Genomic DNA, 19,401 nt, shown 5'->3' with positions numbered 1-19,401 from the left:
CCTGCATGTTTACCAATTGGATTTTACTGTAAGCAGGGACTTCCCTTCTCCCCTATTTTTGTAGGTATGTATTTAGCTATCTTCATTGATACGGACACACGGCTCCCTCTTTTCTACAGGTTTATAACTCATTACTGTCTTTTATTATTTTGGTATTCAAATTGTTGCAAATGTGGCCAGTGAGTGCACCTCTTCAAGTTGACTTCCAGGTCCTTATATGTTCCCATCACTTCTTGAGTACTTCCTCACTGTCTTTAATAATGAGCTATATTCCAGGTGGGGCTTCAGGTTTTTGTTTTTTGTTTTTTTTTTTTAAATAGGTGAGACCTTTAGGTGCATAGATGGTTTCAGTATAGCGTGTTTAGTGTTTCTGTGAGGGTAAGCACAGCCTGCTTTGGCAGCATTGTGGAGGGGAGAGGCAAGGCAGCAGGACTAAGAAGGAGTGTCAGTGGAAGCCTCCTTAGAGGAGATGCCACCACTACTGAGATGTATAGGATCAATAGGAATAAAGTAAAATATGTAACTAGACTTAACCATACTTTTTTTTTTTTTTTAAATAGAAAATGACTGTGGTGCTAGAAGATCATTACTTTTGGAAAGCCGGTTAACATCCATTTCCTAAGAGAAACTTGGCCACCATTTGCTCTGGCATGGCGCAAAGCAGCCCACAGCTTGATATTCAGGTTCTCCATGATCTTCGACAACGTTTCCCTGAAATTCCAGAGGGCGTGGTGTCTCAGTGCATGTTACAGGTAAGTTACCTACCAGTGATAGTGATATTAAGTTCTAGTTTTTCCTATTAGAGCTGGTGATGTGTGATGTAATTAGAACCCAGGTATGTTTTCTTGTGTGTGTGTGTGTGTGTGTGTGTGTGTGTGGAGCAGGATTTCCCTCAACCTTGGCACTGTTGACAGTCTAGCCTGGATAATTCTCTGTTGTGGGAGTCGGCCTTGTGCATTGTAGAATTACTAAACGTTCTAGGCATCCGAGGCCTCTACCCAGTAAATAACAATAGCATCCCCGCAGTTGTGACAACTGAAAATGTCTTTAGACATTGCCAGATGTCTCATGGGAGGCAAAATCTCCCACCATTGAGAACCACAGATTGGAGAAGAAAATAAAAGCATGTAGCAACAAGAAAAACAGATTCTCCTTATGTTTCACTTTTTGAAGTTTTTGGGTTGTACTATCAGTCCCTAAGTCCTTAGAGTTGAATTTTGAATCTTAAATGTATCATTTTAACTTCTTAGACTACACACTTTTGAGTCTTTTTTTAAAAGTCTTTAGATAATCCACTCCCTGTTTTTCTAATGCTAAATCCTTACCGATATCTAATTTTAAATGTAAGCCCATTTTCACTCACCTTACCTTTGTTTTGCTGTGTGTCTTACATTGAATTAAATCTCATCTCGAAGACAGAATGTGTCTTTCCCACTCAGGGGACAACAAACAGAGAAGTTGGCCTACCACTTTCCCTGTACCCCATCTCCCTGTCCCACTGTCCCCTTGTTATGTTTTATATAATCCTTCACAGGATCTTAGTGTTTTGGGTTATGGCACTTACCTATTTGCTTAACTTTGGGCAGCAGTACTTCTACCATGCTCACTGGTCTTCCTCACACACAGTCAGTACTCATGTTCAAACTCTACCTTATGGCAGTGTGAGCAGCTCAGGACATAACCTAAACCTATATACAGGTGTGGTTAATTAAAAATAGAGACTCAGAGAACAATGATGGTAACAGAGGTGCTTCCTTTGTTTGCAAGCCCTTTACTAGTCTAGAGCTTTGGGCTTATGGTTTTTGTGTTACAGCTTGCCTTTGCTTTTTCTCACACACATTCCTAGCCTGAATCTCAGCTCTTTACTTTGGCCCCATTTTGGTTTCTGGTAGAGCAAAGACACTTCCCACCGGAGTGAAACCAAATAAGGATGAAGCTTTTAGTTTAAACCACTTCCTAGCAATCACCTTCCTCACCTATCTTAGGGCCCAACCTAGCCCTGACCTTGTTTTATTTCACTTAGCCCTTTATTACCTGCATTTTTCATTACCATTTAACTAAACTGAAGAAATAGAACTTCAAATTCAGCTCAGTGAACATTTGTTGATAATTACACTGTCCTAAGTCTTTCACTTTTTTCTTCCTTTGGGATTAATAAAATATATTGGTATGGAGATTTACCACCTACTGGCTCTGGAAAACTGCTTTATTCACATTAAAATGTACGAAGCTCAGCAGTTTGCATTTAATGTGCAAGCCTTAGAGCCTCACTCTGGGGTGTATCATCCTCAATTTAGGATCACTTTTTAGGAATATGATGCTTTTTTGCCTCATTCCTTTCAAAAGTGTTCATTATATGTCTTAAAAATTCTTACCTCTGAAATGATTTTGATTTCTTCCTCATGTTTACTGTTTGATACATTTTTTATCCTTATTTTTCTTTAAAGACATTTAACAGTCAAATGTGACATTAGAATCTATTCTGGTAGTTTTCTTTGTACAGTACTTCTGTAAAAATAATACTTTAATATCTTGGTTTTGTGGTTTTTTAAATTTTTCTTCATAGGAAAATTTACTCAACTTGTCACTATAGATATGCTGACAATTCCAACTTTATATCATTTTGAATTTGGGTCCTTTTTGTGACAATACTAAGTAGGCTAACTCAGTGTAGAGAACATGGAATTTCAGGGTTATTAATAAAAATATCAGATGTTAAAGTATCCATGACTACCTTATGTTTCAAACGAAACTCTCTAGTTTTTGTTTTCCCCTAATCCATAGGTCTATAAAAAAAAAAAGAATACTTTATTTCACCTTCCATATTTTTTTCCTTCAGATGTCTGTCAGTGACACATTCTAGTTGGCAATCAGTTTGAATCCTTTGGCTCCAAATTTGTTTTTAATATCTTCCCTTCCTTGCTCAATACGATTTTCAAGCAAGGTAAAAATAATTCAAATCTTTGAGTTGTAATGGTTTTCTTCAATTAATACATCTTTCCGTCACTCAAAGTATTTTTTGAAGTATTTGAATTTTAAATTTTCTATATTGATTATAATTGCCATTTGTCACTATCATCTGGGTAGAATGTTAATGTTTTACACGCATGATCTCATTTTTTAAAGTATTTGAATTTTAGTATCAAAAACTTTATATAAAGAAAAGGTTAAAATGATCTATAGAGTTTTAATACAGCCAATTCATTAAATTTCTAAGAATTCATTTTGTAAAGATTTGCTGGACTTTTTTTTAAACTTCCTAAAGCTCCAGTTTAATAATGTCCTTTTGGCCAGACATCCTTTCCCTTGAAATTATCATGTGGAAAGAGCACTGGGACTCAGGAGAATAAGAATCTAGAATTGGCTTTTCTGTTAACTAGTTAAGTGCCTATTGTCAAGCCATGTAACTTCCCAGGCATCTTTTTCCTCATCTGTAAATGTGCGTTGAATTGGAGCAGATGAACTCTAATAGGAGTTCTCCCAACTCTAAAATTACAACATTATGGGTCCTGTTTTAGGTTTAACTTCATTTGGTTCTCAGCAGAAATGAATTATTTCCTTTCATTTTTATATAAAATGTACTTTTCCTAAAATAAATATATAGTAATATCTATGCATGTACATATCTGTGTGTATATTTATGAACTACAGAGAAGGTCACAATAATTGGGAAACTTTTATGGATTACTTCAAAAGTAGTGGATAATATGTGCTTTACACTAGTAAAATAGTTTGGAATTCTGTATTTCCTTAGAGAACTGCTTTATGATAAATTAACATTTTACAAAGAGGGAACCTTTTATTAGTCTGATTACTGTCAGTTGGAACTTCAAAAGTGTCAGTTTGCTATTACCTCCTTTGTGAGTGTAGAATTAAACAATTCAAATCTTTCAGTGATTTTGAAAGTATACCAAGACACCTTTCAGCGGGTAAAAACTTTTGAGACTGTGAGAGTATGAATGAATTTAATTAAGGCAGTCGACACCAGGTTTTTAATTAAATTACCCTAACTCGGGCAAAGTCATGGAGCCGTAGTTCAAGTTATGGACTTTTTTTATACTGATTCGTTTTGCTTAAATCTTACGTAATGGTTCAGACAGTTGAAGTTATTCAAGGATAAATTTAGGTAAAAGAAAAATGAGGGCTGCTTTAGAATTTTTATTGTTTTAACTCTTGAGGAATTTTATTGTAATTCTTTTTCTCCTTTTGTGGTTTTAGTGCCTTTTAAAAACTAAAGCATGGTTATTTTTATGTTTTTTATCAATTTAAATATTAATAATGGATATTACTTATACTTATATTGCAGCAATTGTGGTGAATCCGAGATAAGCCCAACATTTTAATTTGTTGAGATGCAACAAGTATAAAATGAGTCCTGGATTTGGAGTCAGAAAACTTGGGGTTGAGTCACAGTGTTCATTAGTAGGTACTTTACATTTCTGTAGCAGTAGCAGTAGTGGTAGTACTAGTAATGTGAGCTAAATGTTTGTAAAATAATATGAATCGTTTGGGTCTCCTTTTCAGGATAGATGACCATGAAGTTTTTTGTGGTTAAAATACTGCTCTCTATTTATTCTGTGACAGTAGTATTTGCATAACTCTCTGGCAAAGCCTGACTTCCACTATTAGAATTTGTTAATGTTGCCAATGTTACTTTTACCATTTTTCTCCCCTAGAATAACAACAATCTTGAAGCCTGTTGCCGAGCCCTTTCCCAGGAGAGTAGCAAATACTTATATATGGAATACCATAGTCCAGATGACAATAGGATGAATAGAAATCGCCTTTTACATATTAACCTGGGTATCCATTCTCCTAGTAGCTATCACCCAGGAGATGGAGCCCAACTTAATGGTGGTCGAACACTGGTACATAGCTCAAGTGATGGACATATTGATCCTCAGCATGCAGCAGGTAAACAGCTGATATGTTTAGTTCAAGAACCACACTCAGCTCCAGCTGTTGTTGCTGCTACTCCCAACTACAATCCATTTTTTATGAACGAACAGAACAGAAGTGCAGCTACTCCTCCTTCACAACCACCTCAACAGCCATCTTCCATGCAAACAGGAATGAATCCGTCTGCTATGCAAGGGCCTTCACCACCACCGCCACCTCCTTCATACATGCACATACCTCGGTATAGTACAAATCCAATTACTGTTACAGTATCCCAGAACCTCCCTTCTGGACAGACTGTACCAAGAGCTTTACAAATTCTTCCACAAATTCCAAGCAATCTCTATGGGTCTCCTGGTTCTATTTATATTAGACAGACATCTCAGAGTTCATCAGGAAGACAAACTCCTCAGAGTACGCCGTGGCAGTCCTCACCACAGGGCCCAGTGCCTCACTATAGCCAGCGTCCTTTACCTGTTTATCCACACCAACAGAACTATCAGCCTTCTCAGTATTCTCCCAAACAGCAGCAGATCCCTCAGTCTGCTTACCATTCACCACCTCCTTCTCAATGTCCTTCACCCTTCAGCTCTCCACAGCATCAAGTGCAACCTTCCCAGTTGGGCCACATCTTTATGCCACCTAGTCCTTCAACTACTCCACCCCATCCATATCAACAAGGACCTCCTAGCTATCAGAAACAGGGAAGCCATTCAGTAGCCTATCTTCCATACACAGCATCTAGTTTATCCAAAGGTTCCATGAAGAAGATAGAAATTACAGTTGAACCTTCTCAAAGACCTGGGACAGCAATTAATAGGAGTCCTTCACCCATCAGTAATCAACCATCTCCACGGAATCAACACTCACTGTACACAGCCACCACGCCACCTTCAAGTTCTCCTTCAAGAGGGATATCTAGTCAACCAAAACCTCCATTTAGTGTTAATCCTGTGTATATTACATATACACAGCCAACTGGACCTTCTTGTACTCCATCACCATCTCCTCGAGTGATACCAAACCCAACTACAGTTTTTAAAATTACCGTAGGCCGAGCAACGACTGAAAATCTTTTAAATTTAGTGGACCAAGAAGAGCGCTCTGCAGCACCAGAACCTATTCAGCCCATTTCAGTGATACCAGGCTCTGGGGGAGAAAAGGGAAGCCATAAATATCAGAGAAGTTCTAGTTCTGGATCAGATGACTATGCCTACACACAAGGTAAATTTTAACCCTTTTATGAAATTTAATTTCTGTGGTGAGGCAGCAGTCTCCCATTCAAATATATTAGCTGTTTAGTTTTAATTAAATGTTTAGTATTAAATGTTGGGCAGTAGCATTGCTATTAAGAATAAAGTTAGTGGCCGGGTGCGGTGGCTCACGCCTGTAATCCCAGCACTTTGGGAGGCTGAGGCAGGTGGATCACCTGAGGTCAGGAGTTTGAGACCAGCCTGGCCAACATGGAGAAACCCCACCTCTGCTAAAAATACAAAACTTAGCTGGGTGTGGTGGCGCATGCCTGCAATCCCAGCTACTCGGGAGGCTAAGGCAGGAGAATAGCTTGAATCCAGGAGGCAGAGGTTGCAGTGAGCTGAGATCACGCCACTGCACTCCAGCCTGGGCAACAGAGGGAGACTGTGTCCAAAACAAACAAACAAAAAGAATAAAGTTAGTGCTTCAGAGTCATGTATAGACTTTGTTTTAAAACATGAAAATGTAGGCCTAATAAGGCTTAGTTTAGAAAGAATATTCATAGAGCGAAAAATACAAGTGACATGGAAATTGTCAAAAGTACAAACTACAGAGTAGGAAAAAAGAGATTCATGGAGAATGGACTAAAGTTCATCAAACGAAAGAATTTGAATCTTTTCTAAAGAGGATGGCCCAGAGGGCATAATGATATTTACATATAAATAATATATAAGAAGTGGAATTATTGGATTAGCTAAAAAGTAATAATATATAAAAGTGGAATTACTGGATTAGCTAATAGTAGATTATTGGATTAGCTAATAGTAGACCTAAATTAGATACAGAGTTTTTAAAAAGTCTATTCAGATTGTTTCAAGATAACCGGAGAATTTAGTTTTCTTTCAGTATATAAGAAGGGAAGTAATTATTCAGTATGCCTGGTAGTCAGCCTGTTCAAAACACACATAAGTATAAAGAGAATCTTAGGACAATAGAACAAGAGGGATGTTCAGGTGATGTCACTTTGGTTGCATTCAGAGGGCTAAATTGAAGCAGATGTGGAGGCAGCATAGCATTAGAAAGACATGAGAGTAAATGCCAACCCCCAAGTTGAATGAGTCTTTTATACATTAGCAGTGCATATCGAAATTTTCCAGTCGCTTGTTCAATGTTGTTCTCTGCAATGACATTATCTATAATGCTGTAGCCTTGCTGTTACATCAACGAGCAAGGATGGAGAGGTTAGCAAAGCAACTGAAACTTGAGAAAGAGGAGCTAGAGCGGTTGAAGTCTGAAGTTAATGGTATGGAGCATGACCTGATGCAGAGACGGCTCAGAAGAGTCAGCTGCACCACTGCGATCCCTACGGTAAGTGATCTGTTAGGATGTGTTAATAGGAGGGTCGGGATATTGGCTGTCAGGTCATTTATTTTTCTTTAGGCTTTATTCCTGGCAGAGTTCCGGTTTTTTGTTGTTGTTGTTATTGTTGCTTTTTTTAAAAACAACAGATGAAGGACTTTTGCCTTTAGTAGTTCTCATCAAAATAATTCATGTATGCAGATTCCATAGGCTCATCAGTATTTTCAAACACTGACGATTATAATCAAGGTATAGCATCTCATTTATTTGTAAATTGCTGTCAAAATAGAAATGAAAAGTGCACCCTGACCAAAAATTTGATGAATTTATTCTTTGTGTATTCATTTATTCTTCTAAGCATATGATATATATATTTTTTAAACATTTAAAATTAATTATTTTTGTAAGTACATTAATTCAGATGAGTTAGATCAATATGAATTTTGGAGAAGTGTTAACTGTAGAATATTTTAAGGCAGAGCAGTTTTGTTAAGTATAAATAATTGTAGAAACTGAGATAACAGTATTGATTGATAGCAGTCTTAAAGGGAACTGCTCTAATGAAAAGATTCAGATAATATAGTTTTAACATGTTGGTTAATATATATGAGTTCTAACGATCCCAAACAACTGAGAATTTTGAAGCATGTTTAAAATCTTGTGACTTCACAAGCGATGATCCAACCTATCATTTCACCTTTCAACATTTAGCAGTTTTGTGCGTATAGTTTATGCAATGTGGTACTATGCTAGATGCTTAGTACATACCTACCAGTGGGAAAAATAGATACATCAACAGATAATTATAATACAGTGTGGTAAGTGCTGTATATGTTCACGGGTAATGAGAGAATTTATACATCAACTCGTTTCTGTGCAGATTCATTGCACTTCTCTGCTCTTACATTAATCCTCCTGCTGGAATGCCCTTCTAAAAAGCTCTGCACGTGTAAATCTTGTCTGTTCTGTTCTTCAAGGCTCAACTTAACCTCTACTTTTTCCATGAAGCCTTTCCTCATTTTCCTACCCTCTCTAAGCTAAGGGCAATCTCTGAGTTTACAGGTTTAGAGAAGTGGGCATATGTCAGGCCTCTTGCAGTCAGCATGTCTGCAGCCACTCCCTCATAGAGAAGTTTCTACTTGAGGTTCTTGGCTTCAAAGGGGATCTGTGAATTCTCTGAAATTATATGCAGAGTTTCATAAGTGTGTTTAATATGGGAAGTGGGTCTATAGCTTTCATCAGATTTTCATAAGATTATTACATTGGAGGAAAAAAGGAGTGAGGAACCATTGCCTTAAACAATAGGCAGAGAGAAAAGGGGAAGGCATTTTAGAAGAGAAAAGAACAATAAGGTAATGAAGGCTTGAAGTCAAGATGGAGAGTGACTTTTAGGAGACAGTAACTACAGTTCCCTGGCATAAGCATGAGATTTCTGAAGAGTTAACAGAGGTTAACTGGGGCTTTGACCTTGAATGCTAGGTCAAGGTGCTTGAACTTTATTCTCCTGGTAACAGGGAACAAGTGGGAGTTTTTGAGAGAGAGAGTCTTGAGAAATTGGCATATTCACTAATTTAGTGACTTTTTTGTAATATCGTGTATAGTCAATATTAGAAGTGAGGAGGAAGATTTTAACTACTTAAAGCACTGGAAAATAACAAAGTTATCTTTAATGGAAAGGTGATGTTAATATAAATCAAATTTCTGCCTCATTTTCTCCATTTGAAATCTTAATTGAATCCTCTGATTGCGGAAGATATTGAAGGACATAACCCATATGGGAATCCACCCGTAGTAGTTGGGTACTTTGGAAACCTTTAGGTACCTGTAGAGCATAAACAAATTTTCTTAGCATAGTAATTTTCTTTAATCATATACATTTTATTTAGCAACTACTTGCTGTGTGATAATCCCTGCTAAATAAAATATTGGTTTTTTTTTGTTTTTCATTGGAAGTGGAGAACTGTCTAATGTAGCATAGGTTAGTACTAAAAAAAAAAAAAAGAAAAAAGCCCCAGATTTTATATCAGAGCTCTTATTGATGTATCTTTTTTCTTTCTTTCTTTTTTTTTTTTTGAGATGGAGAGTCTCACCCTGTCACCCAGGCTGGAGTGCAATGGCGTGATCTCGGCTCACGGCAACCTCCGCCTCCCAGGTTCAAGCGAGTCTCCTGCCTCAGCCTCCCGAGTAGCTGCGATTACAGGAGTGTGCCACCACGCCTGGCTAATTTTTTGTATCTTTAGTAGAGACGGGGTTTCACCATGTTGGCCAGGCTAGTCTCGAACTCCTGACCTTGTGATCTGCCCGCCTCGGCCTCCCAAAGTGCTGGGATTCCAGGCATGAGCCACCGCACCTGGCCCCCGATCTATCTTCTTGAGAAAGGAAAAAGAGAAGTTGGTGAAACTGCTGCCCTGGGCTGTAATTTAGTTTTAACTTTTATTATAATTTCAAAGATACATAAAATAGTATAATGAACCCCCATGTAGCCATCCCCCAGATTGAGAAATTGGTAGTTCATGTGGGTGCTAACATCTGAGAGATAAGACATTTAAGTGTTTCCCATGTGTTTCCATTGCCAAGCCTAGTGTAAAATGGAGGACAATTGTAGTACACAGCAGAGGGACAGTACGTGGTGGTTGAGACCGTGAGTAGGCTCTCAAGTCAGGTGCCAGTTTGAATCCTACTTCTATTTGTCACTCATGTATCCTTGGATAAGTAACTTTCTCTATGCTTGTTTTCTTATCTATAAAATGTGTGGTATAGTACTCATCTTACGGGATTTTTCTTAGGATTATATGAGGTAATATATGTGAAGCAGTTTACACAATGCCCAACAAATAGTAAGTGTTCTTATAAAATATGTGTTGGTTGCAAAATACTAGACAACTTTGCTTGAGGTTTAGACACATAAATCTGAAGCATTTTATACTTTGACTTCCTTTGAACTTGAACATATATAAGATTATACTTATGTAGGAAATTAATCAAGAAATAAATCATTTAGTCAGATTTCCCATTTTGCTCATCAAGGCTCATTTGAGGAACCATGATATAGTGGAAAGAGAGCCCACATAGGCTTGGGAGTCAGAATTGCTCAGGCGCTCACTGGCTATATCTGATTTCTCTGCATCTGATTTTCCCTAGCTGTAAAAGAGAATTATAGCAAGTACATTATAATAATTGTCAAGATAAAGAGACAGTGTATGTAATAAGCCTGGCATGAAGTATGTGAACAGTAGATGGCTAGCCTTATCATTGTCCCACTTGTGTATAGGAATACCCAGTGGAGAATTGACATTTTTGCTACTAAAGCACACATTGCTACCTTCAAGTTTTCAAACAAACTGCTTATCAGGCAGTATATACAAAATTGATTAGAAAGTTGCTTGCCTAATGATACTGCAGTGCACATTTGTGACCAGCTATGTGGGGGAGGGAGGTTGTAGAAACTTAGAATAACAGTGAAATAATCTTTTTCTAAGGAGAGCAGAAGTGCAAGATATAAGATGCATGATGGTGTCATTTCCCTTAATCTGTTATTTGCAAAGCATTATATTAAATGCTGACAAAGATGTCATCTCTTAGATCTGTATGTGAAATGAGATAGGTATATCTGTGAGTCTATATGTATTTGTGTGAGAGAGAAAATATAAGGCAGTAAATCAGAAGTGTTGACCAGCTAAATGGTAACAATATAAGTACTTTCAGAGTTTTGAGATAGAAATGTTAGCTTTTTACCTATAGAGTTTATAGATGGAACAGTTTCAAGGAGGAGGGGGAAATTTAAGTTTTACCTTGAAGGATAAGATTTTAATATGCAGAAAGCTGCCAATTACCCCCTCCCTCAAGTTATTCCCCCCCATTCTTCCTGTTCTAATTACATTTTTGGACTATCCCACAGCTTTGAGTCCCAGAGGCATAACTGAGTCCCAGCCACCAAAGAACATCAGTGGTCTTTGACGCTGGTCTATGCCAGCTTTGGAAAAAAAGCTTACCATTTTTTATTTTGAAATGTTGGCTACAAACATCCTGTTTTCTTACAGACAACTTTGAATTATACATACCCAATTTTGAAATTCCTCCTGCACGAAAACTACTTTTGACAAATGGCAGTAATTTCTCAGAAACTGCTTTTTTTCCCCCCTCAGTTTAATCAGAAGCCATATGAAAAAGGACATAGGAATCTTACTGATAAACCCTTAGTAAGATCGAGTGGTTCTACTATCTTTGGAAATGAGCCTGTTGATGAGAGTATGTTTGTTGTTTCTGAGACAGAGTCTCACTCTGTTGCTCAGGCTGGAGTGCAGTGGTGCAATCTGGGCTCACTGCAACCTCCACCTCCCCAGTTCAAGCAATTCTCGTGCCTCAGCCTCTCGAGTAGCTGGGACTACAGGCACGCACCACCACGCCCAGCTAATTTTTGTATTTTAAATAGAGACGGTTTTGCCATGTTGGCCAGGCTGATCTCAAACTCCTGACCTCAAGTGATCCACCTGCCTTGGCCCCCCAAAGTGCCGGGATTACAGGAGTGAGCCACTGCACCCGGCCTGATGAAAGTATGTTTTCGTTACGAGCAACTGTGTGGTGGCTGCTTCACTGTTTTGGGCCACTGTGGCTGAAACATCTCTCTTGCCCCCAACTCCCTAAAACCTATGGAATAGATAATCCTTTTCAGGTGCTTGACTTTCCCGACAGGTTCTTCCATGTGTTCCTAGGAAGATAGCATCACTGTTTGGAGCCCTTACATTATCTTTAATTTAAATGTTCAAGTATATATTTTAAACTATTTGAATATTGCTTGATAGGCAAGGCGCAAAGCATTTTACACATTAATGTCACATAGTTTTAGCCCATAGGAATTAGAAAAGGCAGTCCATAATAAATATTTCTAAACGACTTTTTTTGTTCCTCTAGCATTCTGTGGAATTGTAGCTATTCTGCCTTTTATCACTTATTTTAAACTTTGATACCTGCTTATTTAATGGGCATTCTCAGTTACTCTGATAATAGCTCCTAACACCATATGAATTAAGATATCCTTTCTGCTCATTTTTCTTTCACTGGCATATTAACATATTTAGCGTTTAGCAAAGTACATGTTTTTAACAGAATAGGATTTTGTTCTGTCTTCCTATAGTAGCAGATATTTAATTTTTCACTTTATATGTTATAGTTAAAATCACCCTAGTATTTAATACCTGGGCCGTGCTGAAAGCTTCAGTATTTCAGCCTCTAGATTCTAAACTTTGACTTTTTTACTATACATATATATGTATATTTATATATATACATATATATAAAAATAAAGAAATTAAGGATGACATGGGAAGTAAAGGCTTCCAAAAAGCTTTACTGAATAGAAGATTAGGACTCTCTTCACATTTCAGTGCCTCATATGTGCCCCTGAAAGGCCTAAGGAGTGGGCTGGCCTGAAGAGGTAGAGGCAGAAGAAAACAAAGTTGGGGAACAAATGGAATTCATTTGTTTCTGAAGTTTTCATGTGCTAGAGTAACTGCCTCCTTCAATCTAGAAAAAATATGACAAAAATATTTATATATGAATTTATATAGGAGTCTTTTATATAAATCCTGGCTCTACCAATTACTAGCTTTATAACTTTAAGAAAATTATATAACCTCTCTGTGCCTCAGTTTCCTCATCTATAAACTGGGCACAATATTAGTACCTACCTTAAAGGATTGTTAAGAAGAAGGAATGAGAGAATTCTGGTAAACACCGTACTGTTGTAATTTTTACCAGGCTGGACAAGACTAAGATCATGGACATGACTCGTTTAACAGGTTGATTCTTACAGTTTCCCTTACCATGAAAACATAGACACAAAATATTCTCAGTGCTCTATGATTAAAACGGTAGTATCTTGTATGGTAGAACACAGTCCACTACTGCAGCTCGCCACTTTATATGCAGATTTTGTTTATATGTGGCCATTTTGATGTCCCCATTTTACCCGACTATTCCTTTAAAAACATATACATAGGACTTCTTAAACATGCCCTCTTATGGACTAAGGCCGTATTCTTGGTAATACCCAATCATTACAATTAACATGAAACGCAGTTCTTAAATGTTGGGCTTGATAATGACTTTCCCACAATTGCTATTTTGGGTCCTTTCTTACTAGCCTGAGGAAATGACAAGATTGAGAAGCATGAACAGACAACTCCAGATAAATGTTGACTGTACACTGAAAGAAGTTGACCTCCTTCAATCTAGAGGTATAGACTTGATTATTTGGTAAACCATAAGTAATAGTGTGGTATTTTAAGCTGCTTAAATAGCAATAACTTTGGTTTTGTAGATTTAAGAGACAGTTTTTATCCGTAAGATTACAATCCTGGGAAAGAGATCCCCCTGTCCCATGGTCATGGATCAGATTTGGGGATGAAAAAATAGTTTTACTTCGGCAGTTTCATCAAGTTCTTATCATTTAGACTGTTCTATGTTGTTACTTTGCATTTATCCTCTTTTTGTCATTTACTGTGAATATTTTATAAATTGATGGGTTTTAATTCTAAAACTTAGTAGAGTTCATATTATGTGATAGACATCTAAAATATCTGTAAAAAGGGATCCCAAATCAGAGTATCAGATTTCTCAGTTTTAAAATAAACTCTATATATGTTATTTTTCATGTTATGTTATGTGAAAACATTCAACTATAATCATAGTTTTAGTTTTTTGGATTTTTTTACAGAAGTATACTACAGCAGAAGCTCTCTTAAACTTTCATTTACCCAACTCACCAGATTAGAGATGGTCTTCATTTTCTGTGGAAAATATACTGACTGATGTCCACAGCTGCTGCATACTTTTGACTAGTAGGCTGCATTCTGGTAGGCCCATGAATATTGCTCCCATCGGTTGAATTGTCTGCTTACCAAGAGTTGATTCTGTCCCCAAACCTGTTTATGCCAGTTATTGTATTTCTGCAATTTAATGTTTCATAAACTGACATGAAGGAGAAAGCCGCTCTTTCTATGAAAGCCAAAGGCAAATCACTCAAAAAATAGGGATTGTGAATTAGATATGGGTGAAAACAACTGAAAAAAGTCTAAAAGGATTCTGTACTCAAATTGCATTATAAGTGTTCTTAATATCTTTCTTGCTCCATTCTAAAGCAATCAAAATTATAGATGAGGGTTCAGCAAACTAGGGCCTGTTGCCTGTTTCTGTGAATAAAAGTTTTAGTGGAGCGATAGCCATGCCCATTTGTTTACATATTGCCTATGGTTGCCTTTGTGCTTCAACAGCACAGTTGACTACTTGCAACAGAGACTCTATCACAGGTCCACAAAGTCTAAAATATTATCTGGCCCTTGACAGAAAAGGTTTGCCAACCTCTGCTGTAGGTCATCATGGGTGTGGTTTATGTAAGAAATACAATATGGAACCCCAGCCAACAGACACGTAAAAATTAGGTCTTTATCTAACTAACTTTAAAATATAGCTATATACAAGTGTTTTGTTACGTTAAAGTTGACGTGTAATTTTTCTTAATTCTGTGTATTAATCAGCTTTCCTGCCCCCCATCCCCCACACTTAACTTTTCTTGATTATGGCAGCTAAGACTTTCTACAGTGTTTTAAGAGTATATAATAAAATATCTCACTGCCATTTTTAGGCAAGATTAAACAAACAGTAGGCTGGGCACAATGGCTCATGCCTGTATTCCCAGCAGTTTGGGAGGCCAAGGTGAGAGGATCACTTGAGCCTAAGAGTTAGAGACCAGCCTGGGCAACATAGGGAGACCCCATCCCTACAAATAATTTTTTAAAAATTAGCTAGGTGTGGTGGTGTGTGCCTGTGATCCCAGCTACGTGGGAGGCTAAGGCAGGAGGATCACCTGAGCCCAGGAGGTCAAGGCTGCAGTGAGCCGTGATCACACCGCTGCACTCTAGCCTAGGCAACAGAAGGAGACTCGGTCTAAAAAACAAAGAGCGAGAGATTAAAGATTAGTGGCAGGTGAACCCAAAAGACACGGCATTATCTGAACAACAGACAGAAGCAAATTTGAATGTGAGAATTGAGCAATCTAGTCAGGTACCCTTAAAGTCATTTTCAGAAGCCTAGTCACTCTATAGCCCACTAACTTGAAGCAATCAAAGAATTACTATGCATGATGTAGGGGTTACATAAACTATTGCTACTATATTTTAGAAGATTGCATCAATTTCTTTTACTTGTGTGGTCTTTGGAGCAAAACAAACAGTAAAACATTTGGTTAGGATACTTATAGTAAGCCTTTTGTGATCTAGAAATTAGAACATGAGCTGTAACAAGTAATTGAAGAAATACATATGCAGCTTCTTAAAGCATAAAAAGATTCAATTAATACATCAAATAGCACTGTGGCTTTTATGAGCTATCACAGCAATTATTTTCAGAAAATTATCTTAAAACAGCATATTCAAGTGGATAAAACATTTGTGAAAGGGCCTGCAAGGGAAACCACTATTAAGGTTTTATAAGCAAAGAGCTGTGTTTTTTGTCTGCATTGGACAATGAGCTCTTTGGGATACTTAGGCATTTCTAAATCTCTTTTCATAACGAATCTAAATGTATCCATTTTATACTAAATTCTACTCTTCCACACTGCAGAAAACTTTTTATACTGAGTTTCCAATCTAAACTTTTAAGCTAGGGAAGGAATCTAAACCTTTTTCGGTGGTGACGGGGGGAGGCAGGGGAATAAGCATTTAGAATAGATGCAAATCAGTGCATGACTTGATGAAAACCAGCTTTTTTGTGATTTTTGGTAAGGAAAACTTGTTGGGAAAAAAAAAAGTAGATCTGGAAATGAAGAGATTTAATATATTTAAACTATCAGTATTAGTACCATACAGCATCTTCTATAAATAAGTATGGCTACAGTTAACTGTAATCGTTTAGAACAAGCAGAGCACAGTGATAGGTTCACAGAAGTGAAGGCAGGACCCAAAACCAACCTTGGAGGAGACACAGCAGGAGATGTGGCTGAAATACAGACACTAGACCAGGGAATGAACATTTGAAGACAGACAGGTGAAAATTTTGTGGCAAGACAAAATTCTCAGGTATTGTTCTATCTATTCTGAAATTGGCACCTTTTATCATTGATAAATCTGTAGGAAACATTTAACACTTAGTGTAAGATTCTCCTTTTCTTGAAAATAAGAATACATAAACTGCTGATGTTATTTCACATTTATTGAGGTTGCTTAGTAGTCTCAAAATATAACTTGATTAATCCTTGTAAATGTTTATATTTGGCTTTTTCTGTAGTTCAATTTATAATGAATTTTTAAGGTAAATTATGATAAATATGAAAGTAAGCTTTCATTATTTAAGTGTTCTTTCTCACAGTTTGTTCATTAAAAATCAAAACAAGCAGAAAGAGAAAACAGTTCAACCATCCTTTCATTTCTCTTCTTCATTTATCTCCCCAAATGCCCCACATGCCTAATCCTGCCTAAGGAGACTAGCCTTACAATTAGAAAAATATTCCTTTAAGTGTAATACATTGTAGACATACATCTGTGTAGTGGTTTTCTTGGGTCTTTTCTCACAGCGATGAAAACACAATTTCATTGGGAGGACAGAATTATGTAATGAATTTTGAAATCCTGGAAAACATTTTTCCCTTCTTATGTGTTTTATTTACATATTTTCTTTAAAAAAAAATCAAATAACAGGAAAAAAGAGTTCTTAAATGCCTGATGAATTTACTTTCTTTATAGGAAACTTTGATCCAAAAGCCATGAATAATTTTTATGACAACATAGAACCTGGCCCAGTTGTACCACCCAAGCCATCTAAAAAAGGTGAGTATGAAAAATGTCACAAATACGATAGAAATAAATGTCAAAATAATTTGGGATTTCACATTTATCTGAAGAAATTTCCACTAGAGGTTAAGTTGTTCAGCATAAAGTTACCATATTTTTATTATTTTTATTTTTTTGAGACAGGGTCTCATTCTGCTGCCCCAGCTAGAGTGCAGTGGTGTGATCATGGCTCATTGCAGCCTCGACCTTCTGGGCTCCAGCGATCTTTCTGCCTCAGCCTCCCAAGTAGCTGGTGTGTGGCATGGTAGGCACACACCACCATGCCCAGCTAATTTTTTTTTATTTTTTGTAGAGATGGGATCTCACCATGTTGCTCACTGGTCTCAACAAATTTACCATATTGGTGTTATAATGTGGCAATAATGAAATGTCCCCAAACTTTAGTTTTTAAAAAGTACTGAAATTAGTAACTCTTAGAATTACTGTCAGAGGTAATTTGATGGACTATATAATTTTTTACAAACAGAAGCTGAAACACTATATTACATAGTTAACATTATAAATTTACTTAGCATTGTAAAAACTATAACCCTAAAAGATAATTCTCATAAAATAATGAGGATTTTAAAGGTCTAATGTGAGAATAGAAAGTTAGATTTGCAATAGACTTAAGATTATTTTTCAGACAACAAAAGAATACTTGTGTACTCAAAAGGGGAGCATAGCAATTGGTAGCGACTAGGTATTTTCCCATCAAGAACAAAAGAAATCCTATATAACCAAGGTTTGAAGGAATCATTTTTGGATAGTTGTTACATAAAAATGATTTAAAATTAAAGATATCAAACATGTTCTTATTTTTATGTAGCAAATGTTTAATTGGCATTTCTGTATCTTAAAAAATTAATTTTAATTGAATTTACACGTGCAGTCATTTAAGCCAGACGGATGGATCACATGAGGCCAGGAGTTCGAGACTAGCCTGGCCAACATGGCAAAACCCCGTCTCTACTAAAAATACAAAAATTAGCCAGGCCTGATGGCGCGCGCCTGTAATCCCAGCTACTCAGGTGGCTAAGGCATGAGAATCACTTGAACCCAGGAGGTGGAGGTTGCAGTGAGCCGAGATCGCGCCACTGTACTCCAGCCTAGGCGACAGAGACCCTGTCATTTATTCATTCATTCATAAATAAGTAGTCATTGAATGTAGATTAACTTTCTGCCTCATTCTTAATATTTTAATCCTTTTTGCCTTAAGCAACTCAAGGTAGATTGATCATGAAGACACATAGAACAGTGGAGAATGCCTTATTTTTGAAAAAAATTACCAGAGAGTATAACATTTAACATCTCATCAGACTTAATTAAAAGAATGTATAAATTCTATCTAAATAATACTACCTGACCTAATTACTTAAATTTTGGTTGAATAGTTTTCTACGTATATTAAGCTCATTACAGAGTGTTTTTTTTTTTATTTATAAGTTGCAACATAGTATCTGTTCTTCTTTTTATTGTTTAATATTACCATCGATGTTTCATCTGATCTACATTTAAAAACAGCCTATTGATTTCTTTTTTTTTTTTGAGATGGAGACTCTCTCTGTCACCCAGGCTGGAATGCAGTGGCACTATCTCAGCTCACTGCAACCTCCACCTCCCAGGTTCAAGTGATTCTCCTGTCTCAGCCTCCCAAGTAGCTGGGATTACCCACCACCATGCCCGGCTAATTTTTGTATTTTTAGTAGAGACGGCGTTTCACCATGGTGGCGAGGCTGGTCTTGAACTCTTGACCTCAAGTGACTCAGCCTCCCAAAGTGCTGGGATTACAGGCATGAGCTACCGCACCTGGCCAAAAAATAGTCTATTGATTTCTAAAAATGGCACAAAGAATCATCTTAGTGGATGACTGCCGAGTGCCAGATTTGGCACTTTGGCAGCATCATATGCAGTTTCTTGCCGAAAGTCACTGAGGTGTATAGTTAGCATTGATCAATTTAGTCTTTTGGGTTCATAAAATCAGTCTTTAAACTCGATTTTGCCTGAATGTCTACTAAAGAAGTATCGCCAGACAAACTTTAGTTCATTGATTCAAAGAGCTGTCTTAGAGCAATTGCCCTGTCTAAGGGAGTGCATTGGAAAGTTTTTACCCTGGAAACAGGAC

At 37.1% G+C, this 19,401-nt stretch overlaps 1 protein-coding gene across 12 annotated transcripts in view; it reads left to right on the top strand.

Annotated features, from left to right (window-relative positions):
* The window catches only part of TAB3 (TGF-beta activated kinase 1 (MAP3K7) binding protein 3), a 61,813-nt gene that overhangs the window by 29,016 nt on the left and 13,396 nt on the right, over window positions 1–19,401 (top strand). For 5 of the 12 annotated variants that reach the window (NM_001399873.1, NM_152787.5, XM_047441986.1 and 2 more), the window contains exons 5-9: window positions 561–752; window positions 4,677–6,123; window positions 7,301–7,461; window positions 13,595–13,688; window positions 17,190–17,273. In NM_001399873.1, the coding sequence (NP_001386802.1) occupies window positions 651–752; window positions 4,677–6,123; window positions 7,301–7,461; window positions 13,595–13,688; window positions 17,190–17,273 (1,888 nt within the window). In that variant the 5' untranslated portion in view covers window positions 561–650. Of the gene's footprint in view, window positions 1–560; window positions 753–4,306; window positions 4,423–4,676; window positions 6,124–7,300; window positions 7,462–13,594; window positions 17,275–19,401 lie in introns of those variants that run through there. The other 7 variants (XR_950433.2, NR_174362.1, XM_011545488.3 and 4 more) reach the window with 6 other exon arrangements.

The sequence above is a fragment of the Homo sapiens genome, chromosome X (genome assembly GCF_000001405.40).
Source record: "Homo sapiens chromosome X, GRCh38.p14 Primary Assembly".
NCBI lineage: Eukaryota > Metazoa > Chordata > Mammalia > Primates > Hominidae > Homo > Homo sapiens.
This window is presented reverse-complemented; position numbering and strand designations above follow the sequence as displayed.